Source organism: Homo sapiens, chromosome 2 (genome assembly GCF_000001405.40).
Source record: "Homo sapiens chromosome 2, GRCh38.p14 Primary Assembly".
Taxonomy (NCBI): domain Eukaryota; kingdom Metazoa; phylum Chordata; class Mammalia; order Primates; family Hominidae; genus Homo; species Homo sapiens.
Genome location: NC_000002.12, coordinates 130452706 through 130468598, shown reverse-complemented (window position 1 = coordinate 130468598; position 15893 = coordinate 130452706). Strand labels below are relative to the sequence as shown.

Below are 15893 nucleotides of genomic sequence, written 5' to 3'. Positions count from 1 at the left end.
TCCATGCTGTTCTTGTGATAGTGAGTGAGTTCTCACAAGAGCTGACGGTTTCATAAGGGGCTCTTTGCGCTTCACTTCTCTCTTCTCTCTCTCCCGCCGCCTTATGAAGAAGGTGCCTGCTTCCCCTTCCCCTTCTACCATGGTTGTTAAGTTTCCTGAGGCCTCCCCAGCCATGCGTAACTGTGAATCAATTAATCCTCTTTCCTTTATGAATTACCTAGTCTCAGGTATGTATGTGTGTGAATTACCCAGTCTCAGCTATGTACATATGTATATGTGTGAGTGTATATACACACATACATATATATGATACATATATGTGATGTGAGATATATATATGTATATACGTCCATTTTCTTTATTCCACTCATCAGTTGATGGACACTGGTTGATTCCATATCTTTGCATATTGTGAATTGTGCTGCAGTAAACATATGTGTGCGGGTGTCCTTTTGAGAGTACGATTTCTTTTATTTTGTGTAGATATCTGGAAATGAGAATGTTGGATAAAATGGTAGGATCTACTTTTAGTTCTTTGAGAACTCTCCATACTGTTTTCCATAGATTTGTATGAAGTTGCATTCCCACCAGCAGTGTATCACTGTTGTCTTTTCACCGCGTCCACACCAACATCTGTTGTTTTTTGATTTCTAATAGTGGCCATTCTGGCTGCAGTGAGGTGATATCTCACTGTGGTTTTATTGTACATTTCCCTGATGATTAGAGATATTTAGCATGTTTTTATATGCTTGTTTACCGTTTGTACCTCTTCTTTTGAGAAATGTCTATTCATGTAATTTGGCCACTTTCCAATGGAATTATTTGCGTTTTTCCTGTTGATTTGTTTGAGTTTCTTGTAGGTTATAGATATTAGTCGTTTGTTAGCGTCATAATTTTCAAAATTTTCCCATTGTATAAGTTGTTGTTTGATGATTATTTCTTTTGCTGTGCTGAAGCTTTTTAGTTTAATTAGGTCTTATTTATTTATTTACATTTTTGTTGGATTTGCTTTTAGGGTCTTCCTCATAAATCCTTTGCCTAGGCCAATGTTTTCAGGTCTTAGGTTTAGGCCTTTCATCCATCTTGAATTAATTTTTGTATATGGTGAGAGATAGAGATCCAGTTTCATTCTTCCACATGTGGCTATCTTTTTTTCCCAGCACCATTTATTGAATAACCTGTACTTTCTCCAGTGTATGTTTTTGTATCCTTGCTCAGAGATCACTTGGTTGTAGTGGCTTTATTTCTGAGTTGTCTGTTCTGTTCCATTGATCTATGTATCTGTTTTTATACGAGTACCACGCTGCTTCTGTTACTGTGGTCTTAGAGTATCATTTGAAGTCAGGTAATGTGATGCCAACATATTTGTTCCTTTTGCTTGGTATGTCTGTTGCTGTTCAGGCTCTTTTGTGGTTCTACATGAATGTCAGCATTTTAAAATAATTCTGTGAAGAATGACATTGGTACTTTGGTAGGTATTGTATAGAATGTGTAGACTGCTTTGGGCACTATGGTCATTTTCACTATATCAGTTCTTTCAGTCCATGAACATAGGATGTATTTTCATTTGTTTGTGTCATCTGTTATTTTCTTTGGTGGTGTTTTCCAGTTATCTTTATATAGATCACTCACTTTTTTCATTAAGTATATTCCTAGGTGCTTCACACTTTTTTGCAGCCACTGTAAAAGGGATTGGATTGTTGATATGAACTCTCAGCTTGGTTGTAGTTGGTGTATAGTGGTGCTACTGATTGGTATTCATTTATTTTGTAACCTCTGAGACTTTACTGAATTCATGTATCAAATCTAGGAGTGTTTTGTAGGAGTCTTTAGGGTTTTCTAGGTATAGGATAATATCATTGGTGAAGAGATAGTTTGACTTCCTCTTTTCCAATTTGGATGCCCTTTATTTCTCTTGCCCAATTGCTCTGCCTAGGACTTCCCAGTTTTATTTTTAATATGCATGAAATAAAAGTAAAATGGAAAGTGCTTAACGATGAGTTTATTTCACATCTCTCTCTCATACACAGATAAAATTATTTCAAAGTCCTATGTTAAAAACATATTATACCCTGTCTTGTTCTAAAAGGAATTTCTAAGTTGTTTATAAAATACATAGGAATCAAGAATATAAGTAGAAAGTGTTTCCAAACAATAAACATAAAGAGTATGGGTTACAGGACACAGACCATTAGCAATCCCTGGCCTGTTAGGACCTGGGCCACACAGCAGGAGGTTCGAGGCAGGTGAGCAAGTGAAGCTCCATCTGTTTACAGCCACTCTCTGTCGCTCGCATTACCGCCCGAGCTCCTCCTCCTGTCAGATCAGCGGTGGCATTAGATTGTCCTGAGTGTGACCTGAACCCTGTTGTAAGTTGCTCATGCAGGGGGATATAGGTTGTTCACTCCTTATGAGAATCGAATGCCTTTCTGATCTGTCACCATCTTCCGTCACCCCCAAATGGGACCATCTAGTTGCAGGAAAACAAGCTCAGGGCTCCCTCTGATTCTACATTTTGGTGAGATATAATTATTTCATTATATATTAATAATAATAGAAATAAAGTGCACAATGAATGTAATATACTTGAATCATCCTGGAACCATCCCCCACCTCAGGTTCCTGGAAAAATTATCTTCCACAAAACCAGTCCCTGGTGCCAGCATGGTTGGGGACACCTGGTTAACAGATGTGAGACCCCTTTGCCTTGTCTTGGAATAATGTGCAGATATGCATTGTGTGAATGACATCTGATGGCGCCATCTTGCCCTGTACATCATTTTAGGGACAGCTCCAGTATTTCATGAAAATTAAAATTTCTTCTAGTGACGAACAAAATGATACTCAGAAGCAATTTTGTGAAGAACAGAACACTGGAATATTACACGATGAGATTCTGATTCATGAAGAAAAGCAGATAGAAGTGGTTGAAAAAATGAATTCTGAGGTATTTTCTTTAGTTATTTTCAAATGTTTTTATATGTGTGTATATTTTAAAGAACTGTATTTTGGAAATATAAAGGATTTTTAAGTCATATATATGTGTGTATATATTCTATATATCCTTTGTCATATATCTATATACGTACGTATAGGATAAAGCCATGTTCTTAATTCACCTTCATTTGCCTGCAACAGTTGAGTAGTGACTTGCACAATGGCCTCAATCCAAAGGAGAAGTATTTGATGTTTTTCATAAGAATTGACGATCTTTCCACATCAGAAATAAGTTTTGCTACTGAAAACAGATTTTCTCATTTTTGGACATTAGTTTTTTAAAAAATGTTAATAGAGAAGTCAATTGATTATTTTTACTGATAAGAAAGTAGGAAATGTATAGCTGGGTCAGAGGCCACATTGTGGATACCATTATCCTTACTTTTGCAGAGAGGAACAGTTTGCTCCAAGTAGTTTCTCATTTCAGTGTAAAGAGGTTTGAAAACAATGACATGCCATGATACACATTTAGTAATAATTTATTGATAAGTATTTTGTTTCTGGAGAAATAGTTCAGTATATTTCCCCTATTTCACCATTACTACTGTTTCAAACATTATAAAGAGGAAATAAAAGTTACCGCAATGGCAAATAATCTCATGATTTCTAAGAAAATCTCTATAAGTTGTATCTTATTTACCATTCATATTTTGAAACAAAAGGTTTCTTTTGTATTTATATATTTACACCACAGAAGTAAGTGTGGTTTTGTGGAGGATCACTAGAAGTAGCATCAGCAGACCTGGGGAAAATCCTGCATCTGTGTATATTTTTTGACCTCTCCTTTTAAGAATCGCGATCTTAAATGAGTTCAGTGTTATATGTAGAAGTGGAATGCCTAGATACAGATGTGTACAGTGTAGAAGGGTACAGTGCTTAGATTTGACAGTTATAAATAAATGTAATTCTTATAACTGAGTATAGAAATATTAGAAATGTAGAATATCGGTAAAATGTTCTTCAGTAAAAGAACTTTAAGAACTTTGAGAAATTGCTTCTGTCCAAATATATGCATAGCTAAGGCTCTTAGGATGGTGTGGTTGATAGGTTAGATATCAGAGTGTAAACCTAATCTTAAAAATGTAGTCAAATTGTTAATCTTATATTTTATGCCTCTGGGTTTTTTGTAACTCAGAAAAAGGCTTTTTTAATTCTGGGATTCTTAAAAATCCTCTAGTGATTTATTTTTCATCGTCTTTAAATAAATATTTAAACTTTTAGGAATTTAGGAGCAGATTCCTAAAAGTTTAAATATTTATTTAAAGGCGATGAAAAATAAATCACTGGAGGAATTTACACTCTTATTAGGTTTGAAGTTTTGTCCAATTTTTTTCCAGTTAAATATCCACTATGGGGATTCTTTCATTATACAAATACATGTTATTTTTGAATTTCAGAAGAAATAATGATATGTCAATCTATTGAGTGCTAACTAAAAGTTCTCTTTGTTTACTTAGCTTTCTCTTAGTTGTAAGAAAGAAAAAGACTTCTTGCATGAAAATAGTACGTTGCGGGAAGAAATTGCCATGCTAAGACTGGAGCTAGACACAATGAAACATCAGAGCCAGCTAAGAAAAAAGAAATATTTGGAGGATATTGAAAGTGTGAAAAAAAAGAATGATAATCTTTTAAAGGCTCTACAATTGAATGAGCTCACCATGGATGATGATACCGCCGTGCTCGTCATTGACAACGGCTCTGGCATGTGCAAGGCCGGCTTTGCGGGCGACGATGCCCCCCGGGCTGTCTTCCCTTCCATCGTGGGGCGCCCCAGGCAGCAGGGCATGATGGGGGGCATGCATCAGAAAGAGTCCTATGTGGGCAAGGAGGCCCAGAGCAAGAGAGGCATCCTGACCCTGAAGTACCCCATGGAACACGGCATCATCACCAACTGGGATGACATGGAGAAGATCTGGCACCACACCTTCTACAACGAGCTGCGTGTGGCCCCTGAGGAGCACCCCATCCTGCTGACCGAGGCCCCCCTGAACCCCAAGGCCAACCGCGAGAAGATGACCCAGATCATGTTTGAGACCTTCAACACCCCAGCCATGTACGTGGCCATCCAGGCCATGCTGTCCCTGTACACCTCTGGCCGTACTACTGGCATCGTGATGGACTCTGGTGACGGGGTCACCCACACTGTGCCCATCTATGATGGGAATGCCCTCCCCCATGCCACCCTGCGCCTAGACCTGGCTGGGCGGGAACTGACTGACTACCTCATGAAGATCCTCACCGAGCGTGGCTATAGGTTCACCACCATGGCCGAGCGGGAAATCGTGCGTGACATCAAAGAGAAGCTGTGCTATGTTGCCCTGGACTTCGAGCAGGAGATGGCCATGGCGGCCTCCAGCTCCTCCCTAGAGAAGAGCTACGAGCTGCCCGATGGCCAGGTCATCACCATCGGCAACGAGTGGTTCCGCTGCCCCGAGGCGCTCTTCCAGCCTTGCTTCCTGGGCATGGAATCCTGTGGCATCCATGAAACTACCTTCAACTCCATCATGAAGTCTGATGTGGACATCCGCAAAGACCTGTACACCAACACAGTGCTGTCTGGCGGCACCACCATGTACCCTGGCATGGCCCACAGAATGCAGAAGGAGATCGCTGCCCTGGCGCCTAGCATGTTGAAGATCAGGATCATTGCTCCTCCCAAGCGCAAGTACTCCGTGTGGGTCGGTGGCTCCATCCTGGCCTCGCTGTCCACCTTCCAGCAGATGTGGATCAGCAAGCAGGAGTATGATGAGTCAGGCCCCTCCATTGTCCACCGCAAATGCTTCTAGGTGGACTCTGACTTAGTTGCGTTACACCCTTTCTTGACAAAACCAAACTTCTCAGAAAACAACATGAGATTGGCATGGCTTTATTTGTTTTCTTGTTTCATTTTTTGTTTTGTTTTTTATTGGCTTGACTCAGGATTTAAAAACCGGAATGGTGAAGGTGACAGCAGTCGGTTGGAGGAAGCTTCCTCCAAAGTTCTACAATGTGGCCAAGGACTTTGATTGTACATTGTTCTTCTTTTCAATAGTCATTCCAAATATTGTGAGACGCATTGTTTCAGGAAGCCCCTTGCCCTGCTAAAAGCCACCCCACTTCTCTCTAAGGAGAATGGCCCAGTCCTCTCCCTAGTTCACACAGGGGAGGTGATAGCATTGCTTTTGTGCAGATTACATAATGCAAAATTTTTTGAATCTTCGCCTTAATACTTTTTAATTTTGTTTTATTTTGAATGATCAGCCTTCGTGGCCCCCCTCTTTTGTACCCCAACTTGGGGTGTATGAAGGCTTTTGGTCTCCCTGAGAGTGGCTGGAGGCAGCCAGGGCTTACCTGTACTCTGACTTGAGGAGAGTTGGATAAAAGTGCACACCTTAAAAAAAATTGAGGAAGCACAGTATTTCAGTACAGTGGACAGCTTAGCATGTTGACAACTGAGAATAAAATGCTCAGTTCTGAACTGGACAATGTAAGACACAACGAGGAAACACCGGAAATGGAAATTCAATTACGTCATTGTAGACTGGCTGCTGCTCTACATGATTGTGACCAAAGTCAGATAGCTGAAAGAGACTTCTTTCCAGAGAACAAGACATGAACAGGTTTATTTACAGAAGACAATGAATTCTCATTTATCTCACCTAAAAGAGAACAGATTCTTTCTCAACAAGTCTAACGTAGACAGTAAAATCAACAGGCTAAAAATTAAGCTCCATGAAACAAGATAAAACTCTGAGAGAAAAGACGGGGCAGGCCGCCATCTTTCCCGTTCAGGCAACTTAGTCATTCCAGCCTGCGGGCTTTGGAGAGTACAAACCGACGAGGGACAGAAGAGATCCCACAGCACAGCATAGCTGCTTTACCAAATCATGGCCAGACTGCTTCTGTAAGCAGGCCCCTGATCCTGTTCCATCTCACTGGACAGGACCTCCCAACTGGGGCCTCCAGCTACCCCCACCAGCATTCCTTGGCCAATGGAAATGTGAAATGTTCCTGGGACAGAGCTCCCGGAGAGGGGCAGGCCCCCACCTTTGCTCTTTCGGTGACTAGCCATTCTGGCCTGCGGGCTTTGGAGAGCCCAAGCTGACAAGGGGTGGAAGAGGTACCTCAGCACAGCACAGCCACGCTACCAAAACGTGGCCAGACTCTTGTTTACGTCAGTCCCTGACCACATTTCTAGTCAGTGGGTGAAGTCTTTCAACCAGGGTCTCTGGCTACCTTGACTGCTGTTCTCTGGCCGACAGAGGTCTCAGGCCTCCCTGAGTCAGAGCTCCCAGGGGGAGGACCAGATTGTCATCTTTGCTGTTGGGGCGACCCAGGCATTTCAGCCTTAGGGCTTCAGAGTGTCTGAGGCGGACCAGGGGCTGAAGTGAACCCCCAGCACAGCACAGCTGCTCTATAAAAACGTGGCCAGACTTTTCTTTTTGAAGCAAGTCCCTGTTCTTGTTCGTCCTGACTAGGTAAGACTTCTCAACTTGCCTCCAGCCACATCTTATAGGTGTGTTCAGATTGGCAACAGGTTCGTACCTCAGTGGTACAGAGCTTCCAGAGGAAGGGGCAGACTATCATCTTCCCTGGAAAATACAAGGCAATTAGGGACTGGAGGGGACCCCCAGCATACCACAGCAGCCCTACAGAAAAGTGGCCAGGCTCTCTACTTGATGGGCAGATCCTCCTGGCCTGGGTCTCTAGCCAGCCCACCACTGGAGCTATCAAGCCAGTAGCAACTCTGCAGTTCCTGGGACAGAGCTTCCAGGAGCAAATGAAATCCTTTCTGCCACTGCCTCTGCAGTGGAACTGCCCTTGCTGCCCTCAGAAGATGCAAGGGAGCAAAGACCCTAAGTGCCCTATCAACACCTCCAATAAGCTGCAGTTGACCCAAAGAACAAGCCAGTCCATCTCCCACGGGTACCACACACCCTCCACTACTCATCACCAGACAGGGAACCCTGGCTTGGGCCCACAGCACAGACCCTCCATCCTGGGCTGATTACACTAAGTGATTGCTAACTCACATGTCTCTGGGATGGAGCACCCAGGAAACAAGCAAAGTGGTGGAGCAGCAAGTCAGGTGATGTGGAGCCCAGAGGTCAGGGATGGCTGTCTCTCTAGGGTCCACTTGCCCTTGTGAGACACTTTATCCCAGCACTTTAGGAATACTGAGGTCATACCAGCCACATCTTATATGCAAGATTGCCCAGCAGAGATCAGGTCCGAGAGTTCCCTTTTTAAAAAAAGGAGACTTGCTTAATAAAAGAAGTCTAGCCACGTTTGTGTAGAGCGGCTGTGCTGTGCTGGGGGTTCACTTTTGAGAGAGTTCTCCTCTGAGACCTGATCTCTGGAGGCTGGGCAATCTTGCACTTGAGATGGGGCTGGTCTGATCTCAGCACTCCTTAGTCTGCTCGCCTCTCCCATGGCCCCAGCCTGGCCACACCTGCTTACGGGGCACTCTTAGATGCCCACACCATAGCTTCCGTGCTAGTGGACTGTACCATATCAGTGGAGAGCTGCAGCAAGGTGGCCCCTAGAGCCACGCACCAGCCTGCACATTGCCTCTCCATACGGCAGCCCTTTATTTGGAAACTTCCTAAATCACTTTGCTGTGTGTGTTTACACGGGTGGGTTTTGCTTTACTTGCCCTGAGAGCACACAGGAGTGCAGCACACACCCCAACCCACATCAACTGCCATTAAAGAAAAGAAATTTCAGCCCAGAATTTCATGTCCAGCAAAATTAAGCATCATAAGTGAAGGAGAAATAAGATCCTTTTCAGACAAGCAAGTGCTGAGGGAATTTGGTATCACCAGATCTACCTTACGAGAGCTCCTGAAGGAAGCACTAAATATGGAAAGAAAAGATCATCACCTGCTACTACAAAAACACACTGAAGTACACAGTCCAATGATGCTAAAAAGCAAGCACATATGTAAGTCTGCAAAATAACCAGCTGACAGCATGACGACAGGATAAAATCCACACATACCATTACTAACCTTAAATGTAAATGGGCTAAATGCTCCCATTGAAAGACACGGGGCAAGCTGGGTAAAGAACCAAGACCCACTGGAGTATGCCGTCTTCAAGCAACCCATCTCACGTGCAGTGCCATACATAGGCTCAAAATAAAGGAATGGAGAAAAATATTTCAAGCAAATGGAAAACAGAAAAAAGGTGTTGCACTCCCAGTTTCTGACAAAACAGACTCTACCAATAAAGATAAAAAAAGAGAAGGACATTACAAAGGTGGTCCTGACCTTTGATAAATCTCATTATTGCTTGATACCAACCTGGGCTATTTGTATTGCCCAAACCAATAGGATAATTTGCTGAGGTTGTGGAGCTTCTCCCCTTCACAGAGTCCCTGATCTCCGAAAATTTGGTTGAGATGTAAGGTTGATTTTGCTGTACAACTCCTTTTTTGAAGTTTTACTCATTTCCAACAAGGAAGGCAAGTTTTCCTGCTTCCATTGACAAAGGAGAGCAGGCACCTCCTTTCCTGAGTTTCAGCTTGCTTCTGACAGGGAAGGTGAGTGTAAGTTTTTCCAGCTTCTAAGATGGCAGAGAATGATCACCCAGTCTGAGCCTTATTTCCAGGTAAGTAGCTGAATTAGAGTTTTGTCTTAAAATTTTTCCTTAATGACTAAAATTTAAGATTACCCACCAGCTGCTTTTAATTCCTCCTTACCATTAGAACACTCAGTTAATCATATGAATTGTGCATTTGTTTGTTTTGCTTAACTCTTTTTGTTTATGTTTGGGGTTTTATTGTTGTTTCACTTTTCTCCCATCTCTTCCTGACTTGGTCAAATCCAAAGGAATGTTCCAAATTGTGGGGAGCAAGGCATCTGAATTGGCTAAAACTCCTGGGGCTGCAAAACAAAAACAAAAACAAAACAAAACAAAAAAACAACAAAAAAAAAAACCACAAAAAACAAAAAAAAATCCAGTTGGAAATTTTTTAAAACTTTTTTTTAATTTTTAAATTTTATTATTATACTTTAAGTTTTAGGGTACATGTGCACAATGTGCAGGTTTGTTACATATGTATACATGTGCCATGTTGGTGTGCTGCACCCATTAACTCGTCATTTAACATGAGGTATATCTCCTAATGCTATCCCTCCCTGCTCCCCCACCCCACAACAGTTCTCGGTGTGTTATGTTACCCTTCTGTGTCCACGTGTTCTCATTGTTCAGTTCCCACCTACGAGTGAGAACATGAGGTGTTTGGTTTTCTGTTCTTGTGTTTGTTTGCTGAGAATGATGATTTCCAGCTTCATCCATGTCCCTGCAAAGGACATGAACTCATCCTTTTTTATGGGTGCATAGCATTCCATAGTGTATATATGCCACATTATCCAGTCTATCATTGATGGGCGTTTGGGTTGCTTCCAAGTGTTTGCTGTTGTGAACTGTGCCGCAGTAAACATACGTGTGCATGTGTCTTTATATTAGAATGATTTATTATTTTTTCAGTATATACCCAGTAATGGGATTGCTGGGTTAAATGTATTTCTAGTTGTAGATCCTTGAGGAATTGTCACACTGTCTTCCACAATGGATGAACTAATTTATACTACCACCAAGAGTGTAAAAGCGTTCCTATTTCTCCACGTCCTCTCCAACATCTGTTGTTTCCTCATCTTTTAATGTTGGCCATTCTAAGTGGTGTGAGATTGTATCTCATTGTGGTTTTGATTTCCGTTTCTCTAATGACCAGTGATGATGTGGTTTGCTTCACATGTTCTTTAGCTGCATAAATGTCTTATTTGGGAAGTGTCTGTTCATATGTTTTGCCCATTTTTTGATGGGGTTGTTTTTTTTCTTGTAAATTTGTTTAAGTTCTTTGTAGATTCTGCATATTAGCCGTTTGCCAGATGGATAGATTGCAAAAATTTTCTCCCATTCTGTGGGTTGCCTGTTCACTCTGATGATAGTTTCTTTTGCTCTGCAGACACTCTTTAGCTTAATTAGGTTCCATTTGTCAATTTTGGCTTTTGTTGCCATTGCTTTTGGTGTTGTAGTGATGAAGTCTCTGCCCATGCCTATGTCCTGAATGGTATTGCCTAACACAAGGACATTTCTGTGCCTGAGTGCCATACCACCCAAAGTGATTTATAGATTCAGTGCTATCCCCATCAAGCTACCATTGACTTTCTTCACAAAATTAGAAAAACTACTTTAAATTTCATATGGAACCAAAAAAGAGTCTACATAGCCAAGACAATCCTAAGCAAAAAGAACAAAGCTGGAGGCATCACAGTACCTGACTTCAAACTATTCTACAAGGCCACAGTAACGGAAACAGCATGGTACTGGTACCAAACCAGATATATAGACCAATGGAATAGAACAGAGGCCACAGAAATGGCACCACACATGTAAAACCACCACATCTTTGACAAAACTGACAAAGGTAAGCACTGGGGAAAGGATTGCCTATTTAATAAATGGTGTTAGGAAAACTGTCTAGCCATATGCAGCAAACTGAAACTGGGCCACTTCCTTACACTTTATACAAAAATTAACTTAAGAAGGATAAAAGAGTTAAATGTAAGACCTAAAAGCAAAAAATCTAGAAGAAAATGTAGGCCACCAACCTCAGGGGAAATGTACTTGTAGTGAAATGCATGGTACAAACACACATTCCCTACTTCCTTGAGTGGGTGAGGTTGGTGGCTGGTCCATCTGCTCCAAGTGGACCCTTACAGATGTGGCTGGTTGCTCTTTGAGCCAGCTTGGCCTTGCCCAGCATGCACAAGCATCAGTGAATAACTGTGCTATAAATGGAGCCACATAGAGGAAATGAGCAGCAGGCTCAAGACCATGGTGTGCACTGCCTTTGGGGCTCCAGTCCGTGCCTCAGGGATGGTATGGCACTGCGAGCTTCTTGGTTGCCAAGAGGCAGACCACAGGCCATCTTGAGGAGGACTTTATGTTCAAGTGCAGAAAACAGCCAGGATTACCACCCAGGGGACTTGGCCTTCTGTGGCCGTGGCCAGACTTAGAATTTGTGTCAAGGCATGGCAAGCTCACTCGGAGCAGCGTGTTGGTACCTGGGGCCTGTGCATGCCAGGGAAGGCCAGGCTGGCTCAAAGAGCAACCAGCCACCTCTGCAAGGGTGCGCCTGGACCAGGTGGACTAGCCACCAACCTCACCCACAGAAGGAAGCAGGGATGACCAGGTTACGAGAGCCTGAGTAGCTGCCACCTGAGGGCTGATGGAGCAGAGGCCTGAGGAAAATCAGATGGCACGTTTAACTGTTTAATGGATCTTAAGTTAATTTTTCTATAAAGCAGATGTCACCAGTCCATGCCTCAGAGCTCATATGGCACTGCAGACCACAGAAGGCCGAGTCCCCTGGGTGGCAATCCTGGCTGCTTTCTGCACTTGAACATAAAGTCCTCCTCAAGATGGCCTGTGGTCTGCCTCTTGGCCCTACCTTTAGGGTAGAAGAACCAATGTACCATGTTTGGCAGCAAGTGAGGTTGGTGGCTGGTCCGGTTGCTCCTGGCACACCCTCGCAGAGGTGACTGGTTGCTCTTTGAGCCAGCTTGGCCTTGCCTGGCATGCACAAGCCTCAGTGCAACAACAGTGCTACAAATGGAGCCACAGAGAGGAAACAAGCAGCAGGCTCAGGAGCAGGGTGTGCGCTGCCTTTGGGGCTGCAGTCCATGCCTCAGGCGTCATATGGCACTGCGGGCTTCTTAGTTGCCAAGAGGCAGACCACAGGCCGTCTTGAGGAGGACTTCATGTTCAAGTGCAGAAAGCAGCCAGGATTACCATCCAGGGGACTCGGCCTTCTGTGGCCCTGGCCAGACTCAGAATTTGTGCCAAGGCAGGACAAGCTCACTCGGAGCAGCGTGTCAGTAGCTGGGACCTATGCATGCCAGGCAAGGCCAAGCTGGCTCAAAGAGCAACCAGCCACCTCTGCAATGGTGCAACTGGACCAGTTGGACCAGCCACCAGCTTCACCCACTGAAGGAAGCAGGGATGGCCAGGTTCCAACAGCCGGAGTGGCTGTCTCCTGATGGCTGATGGAGCAGAGGCCTTAGGAAAAGCAGATGGGCCTGTGGCCCTACCTTTAGGGTAGAAGTACTGATGTGCCATGTGTGGCAGCAAGTGAGGTTGGTGGCTGGTGCAGCGGCTCCTGGCACACCCTCGCAGAGGTGACTGGTTGCTCTTTGAGCCAGCTTGGCCTTGCCCAGCGTGAACAAGCCTCAGTGCAACCTCTCTGCTACATATGGAGCCACAGAGAGGAAACGAGCAGCAGGCTCAGGAGCAGGCTGTGCGCTGCCTTTGGGGCTCCAGTCCAAGCCTCGAGTCGTATAGCACTGTGGGCCTCTTGGTTGCCTAGAGGCAGAAAACAGGCCATCTTGAGGAGGACTTTATGTTCAAGTGCAGAAAGCAGCCAGGATTACCATCCAGGGGACTCAGCCTTCTGTGGCCCCGGCCAGACCTTGCAGAGGTGGCTGGTTGCTCTTTGAGCCAGCTTCATCTCCCTTGCATGCACAGGCCCCAGGTACTAACACGCTGCTCTGAGTGAGCCTGTCCTGCCTTGGCTGCCACCTAATTGCTGATGGAGCAGAGGCCTTAGGAAAAGCAGATGGCACTGTGGCCCACCTTCAGGGTAGAAGAACTGATGTACCATGTCTGGCCACTAGTTGGTGACTGGTGCACCTGCTCCTGGCACACCCTTGCAGAGGTGGCTGGTTGCTGTTTGAGCCAGCTTGGCCTTGACCGGCATGCACAAGTCTCAGTGCAACAACTGTGCTACAAATGGAGCCACAGAGAGGAAATGAGCGGCAGACTTAGGAGCAGGGTGTGCGCTGCCTTTGGGGCTCCAGTCCATGCCTCGGGTCGTATGGCACTGCAGGCTTCTTAGTTGCCAAGAGGCAGACCACAGGCCGTCTTGAGGAGGACTTCATGTTCAAGTGCAGAAGGCAGCCAGGATTACCATCCAAGGGACTCAGCCTTCTGTGGCCCTGTCCAGACTTAGAATTTGTGTCAAGGCAGGAGAAGCTCACTCGGAGCAGCGTGTCAGTACCTGGGGCCTGTGCATGCCAGGCAAGGCCAAGCTGGCTCAAAGAGCAACGAGGCACCTCTTCAAGGGTGCGCCTGGACCAGTTGGACCAGCCACCAACCTCACCCACTGAAGGAAGCAGGGATGGCCAGGTTACAACACCCTGAGTGGCTGCCACCTGGGGGCTGATGGAGGAGAGGCCTGGGGAAAGTCAGATGGCACATTTAACTCTTTAATGGATCTTAAGTTAATTTATCTATAAAGCAGATGTCGCCAGTCCATGCCTCAGGCTTGTATGGCACTGCGGAGCACAGAAGGGCAAGTCCCCTGGGTGGTAATCTTGGCTGCTTTCTGCACTTGAACATAAAGTCCTCCTCAAGACGGCCTGTGGTCTGCCTCTTGGCCCTACCTTTAGGGTAGAAGAACCGATGTACCATGTCCGGCAGCGAGTGAGGTTGGTGGCTGGTCCGACTGCTCCTGGCACACCCTTGCAGATGTGGCTGGTTGCTGTTTGAGCCAGCTTGGCCTTGCCCAGCATGCACAAGCCTCAGTGCAACTACTCTGCTACAAATGGAGCCACAGAGAGGGAATGAGCAGCGGGCTCAGCAGCAGGGTGTGTGCTGCCTTTGGGGCTCCAGTCCATGCCTCAGGGGTCGTATGACACTGTGGGCTTCTTGGTTACCAGGAGGCACACAACAGGCCGTCTCGAGGAGGACTTCATGTTCAAGTGCAGAAAGCAGCCAGGATTACCATCCAGGGGACTCGGCCTTCTGTGGCCCTGGCCAGACTCAGAATTTGTGCCAAGGCAGGACAAGCTCACTCGGAGCAGCGTGTCAGTACCTGGGGCCTGTGCATGCCAGGCAGGGCCAAGCTGGCTCAAAGAGCAACCAGCCACCTCTGCAAAGGTGTGCCAGGAGCAGGTGGACCAGCCACCAACTTCAGCCACTGAAGGAAGCAGGGATGGCCAGGTTCCAAGAGCCTGAGTGGCTGTCTCCTGATGGCTGATGGAGCAGAGGCCTTAGGAAAAGTAGATGGCCCTGTGGCCCTACCTTTAGGGTAGAAGTACTGATGTGCCATGTCCGGTAGCAAGTGAGGTTGGTGGCTGGTGCAGCGGCTCCTGCCGCACCCTTGCAGAAGTGACTGGTTGCTCTTTGAGCCAGCTTGGCCTTGCCTGGCATGCACAAGCCTCAGTGCAACAACAGTGCTACAAATGGAGCCACAGAGAGGAAACGAGTGGCAGACTTAGGAGCAGGGTGTGCGCTGCCTTTGGGGCTCCAGTCCATGCCTCGGGTCCTATGGCACTGCGGGCTTCTTGGTTGCCAAGAGGCAGACCACAGGCTGTCTTGAGGAAGACTTTATGTTGAAGTGCAGAAAGCAGCCAGAATTACCACTCTGGGGACTCGGCCTTCTGTGGCCCTTGCCAGACTTAGAATTTGTGTCAAGGCAGGACAAGCTCACTTGGAGCAGTGTGTTAGTACCTGGGGCCTGTGCATGCCAGGCAAGGCCAAGCTGGCTCAAAGCGGAACCAGCCACCTCTACAAGGGTGAGCCTTGACCAACTGGACCAGCCACCAGCTTCACCCACTGAAGGAAGCCGGGATGGCCAGGTTCCAACAGCCTGAGTGGCTGTCTCCTGATGGCTGATGGAGCAGAGGCCTTAGGAAAAGCAGATGGCCTTGTGGCCCTACCTTTAGGGTAGAAGTACTGATGTGCCATGTCTGGCAGCAAGTGAGGTTGGTGGCTGGTGCACCGGCTCCTGGCGCACCCTTGCAGAGGTGACTGGTTGCTCTTTGAGCCAGCTTGGCCTTGCCTGGCATGCACAAGCCTCAGTGCAACAACAGTGCTACAAATGGAGCCACAGAGAGGAAACAAGCAGC

General features: G+C 45.8%; 1 protein-coding gene across 6 annotated transcripts in view; it reads left to right on the top strand.

The window, feature by feature from the left end:
* POTEI (POTE ankyrin domain family member I) overlaps positions 1-9144 on the top strand; it is a 50253-nt gene extending 41109 nt beyond the window's left edge. For all 6 annotated transcript variants that reach the window (XM_024453046.2, NM_001371926.1, XM_017004732.3 and 3 more), the window contains 2 exons: positions 2827-2947; positions 4455-9144. In XM_024453046.2, coding sequence (XP_024308814.1) covers positions 2827-2947; positions 4455-5783 — 1450 coding nt within the window. In that variant the 3' untranslated portion in view covers positions 5784-9144. The remainder of the gene's footprint in view (positions 1-2826; positions 2948-4454) is intronic.
* The last annotated feature ends 6749 nt before the right edge of the window (positions 9145-15893 follow it).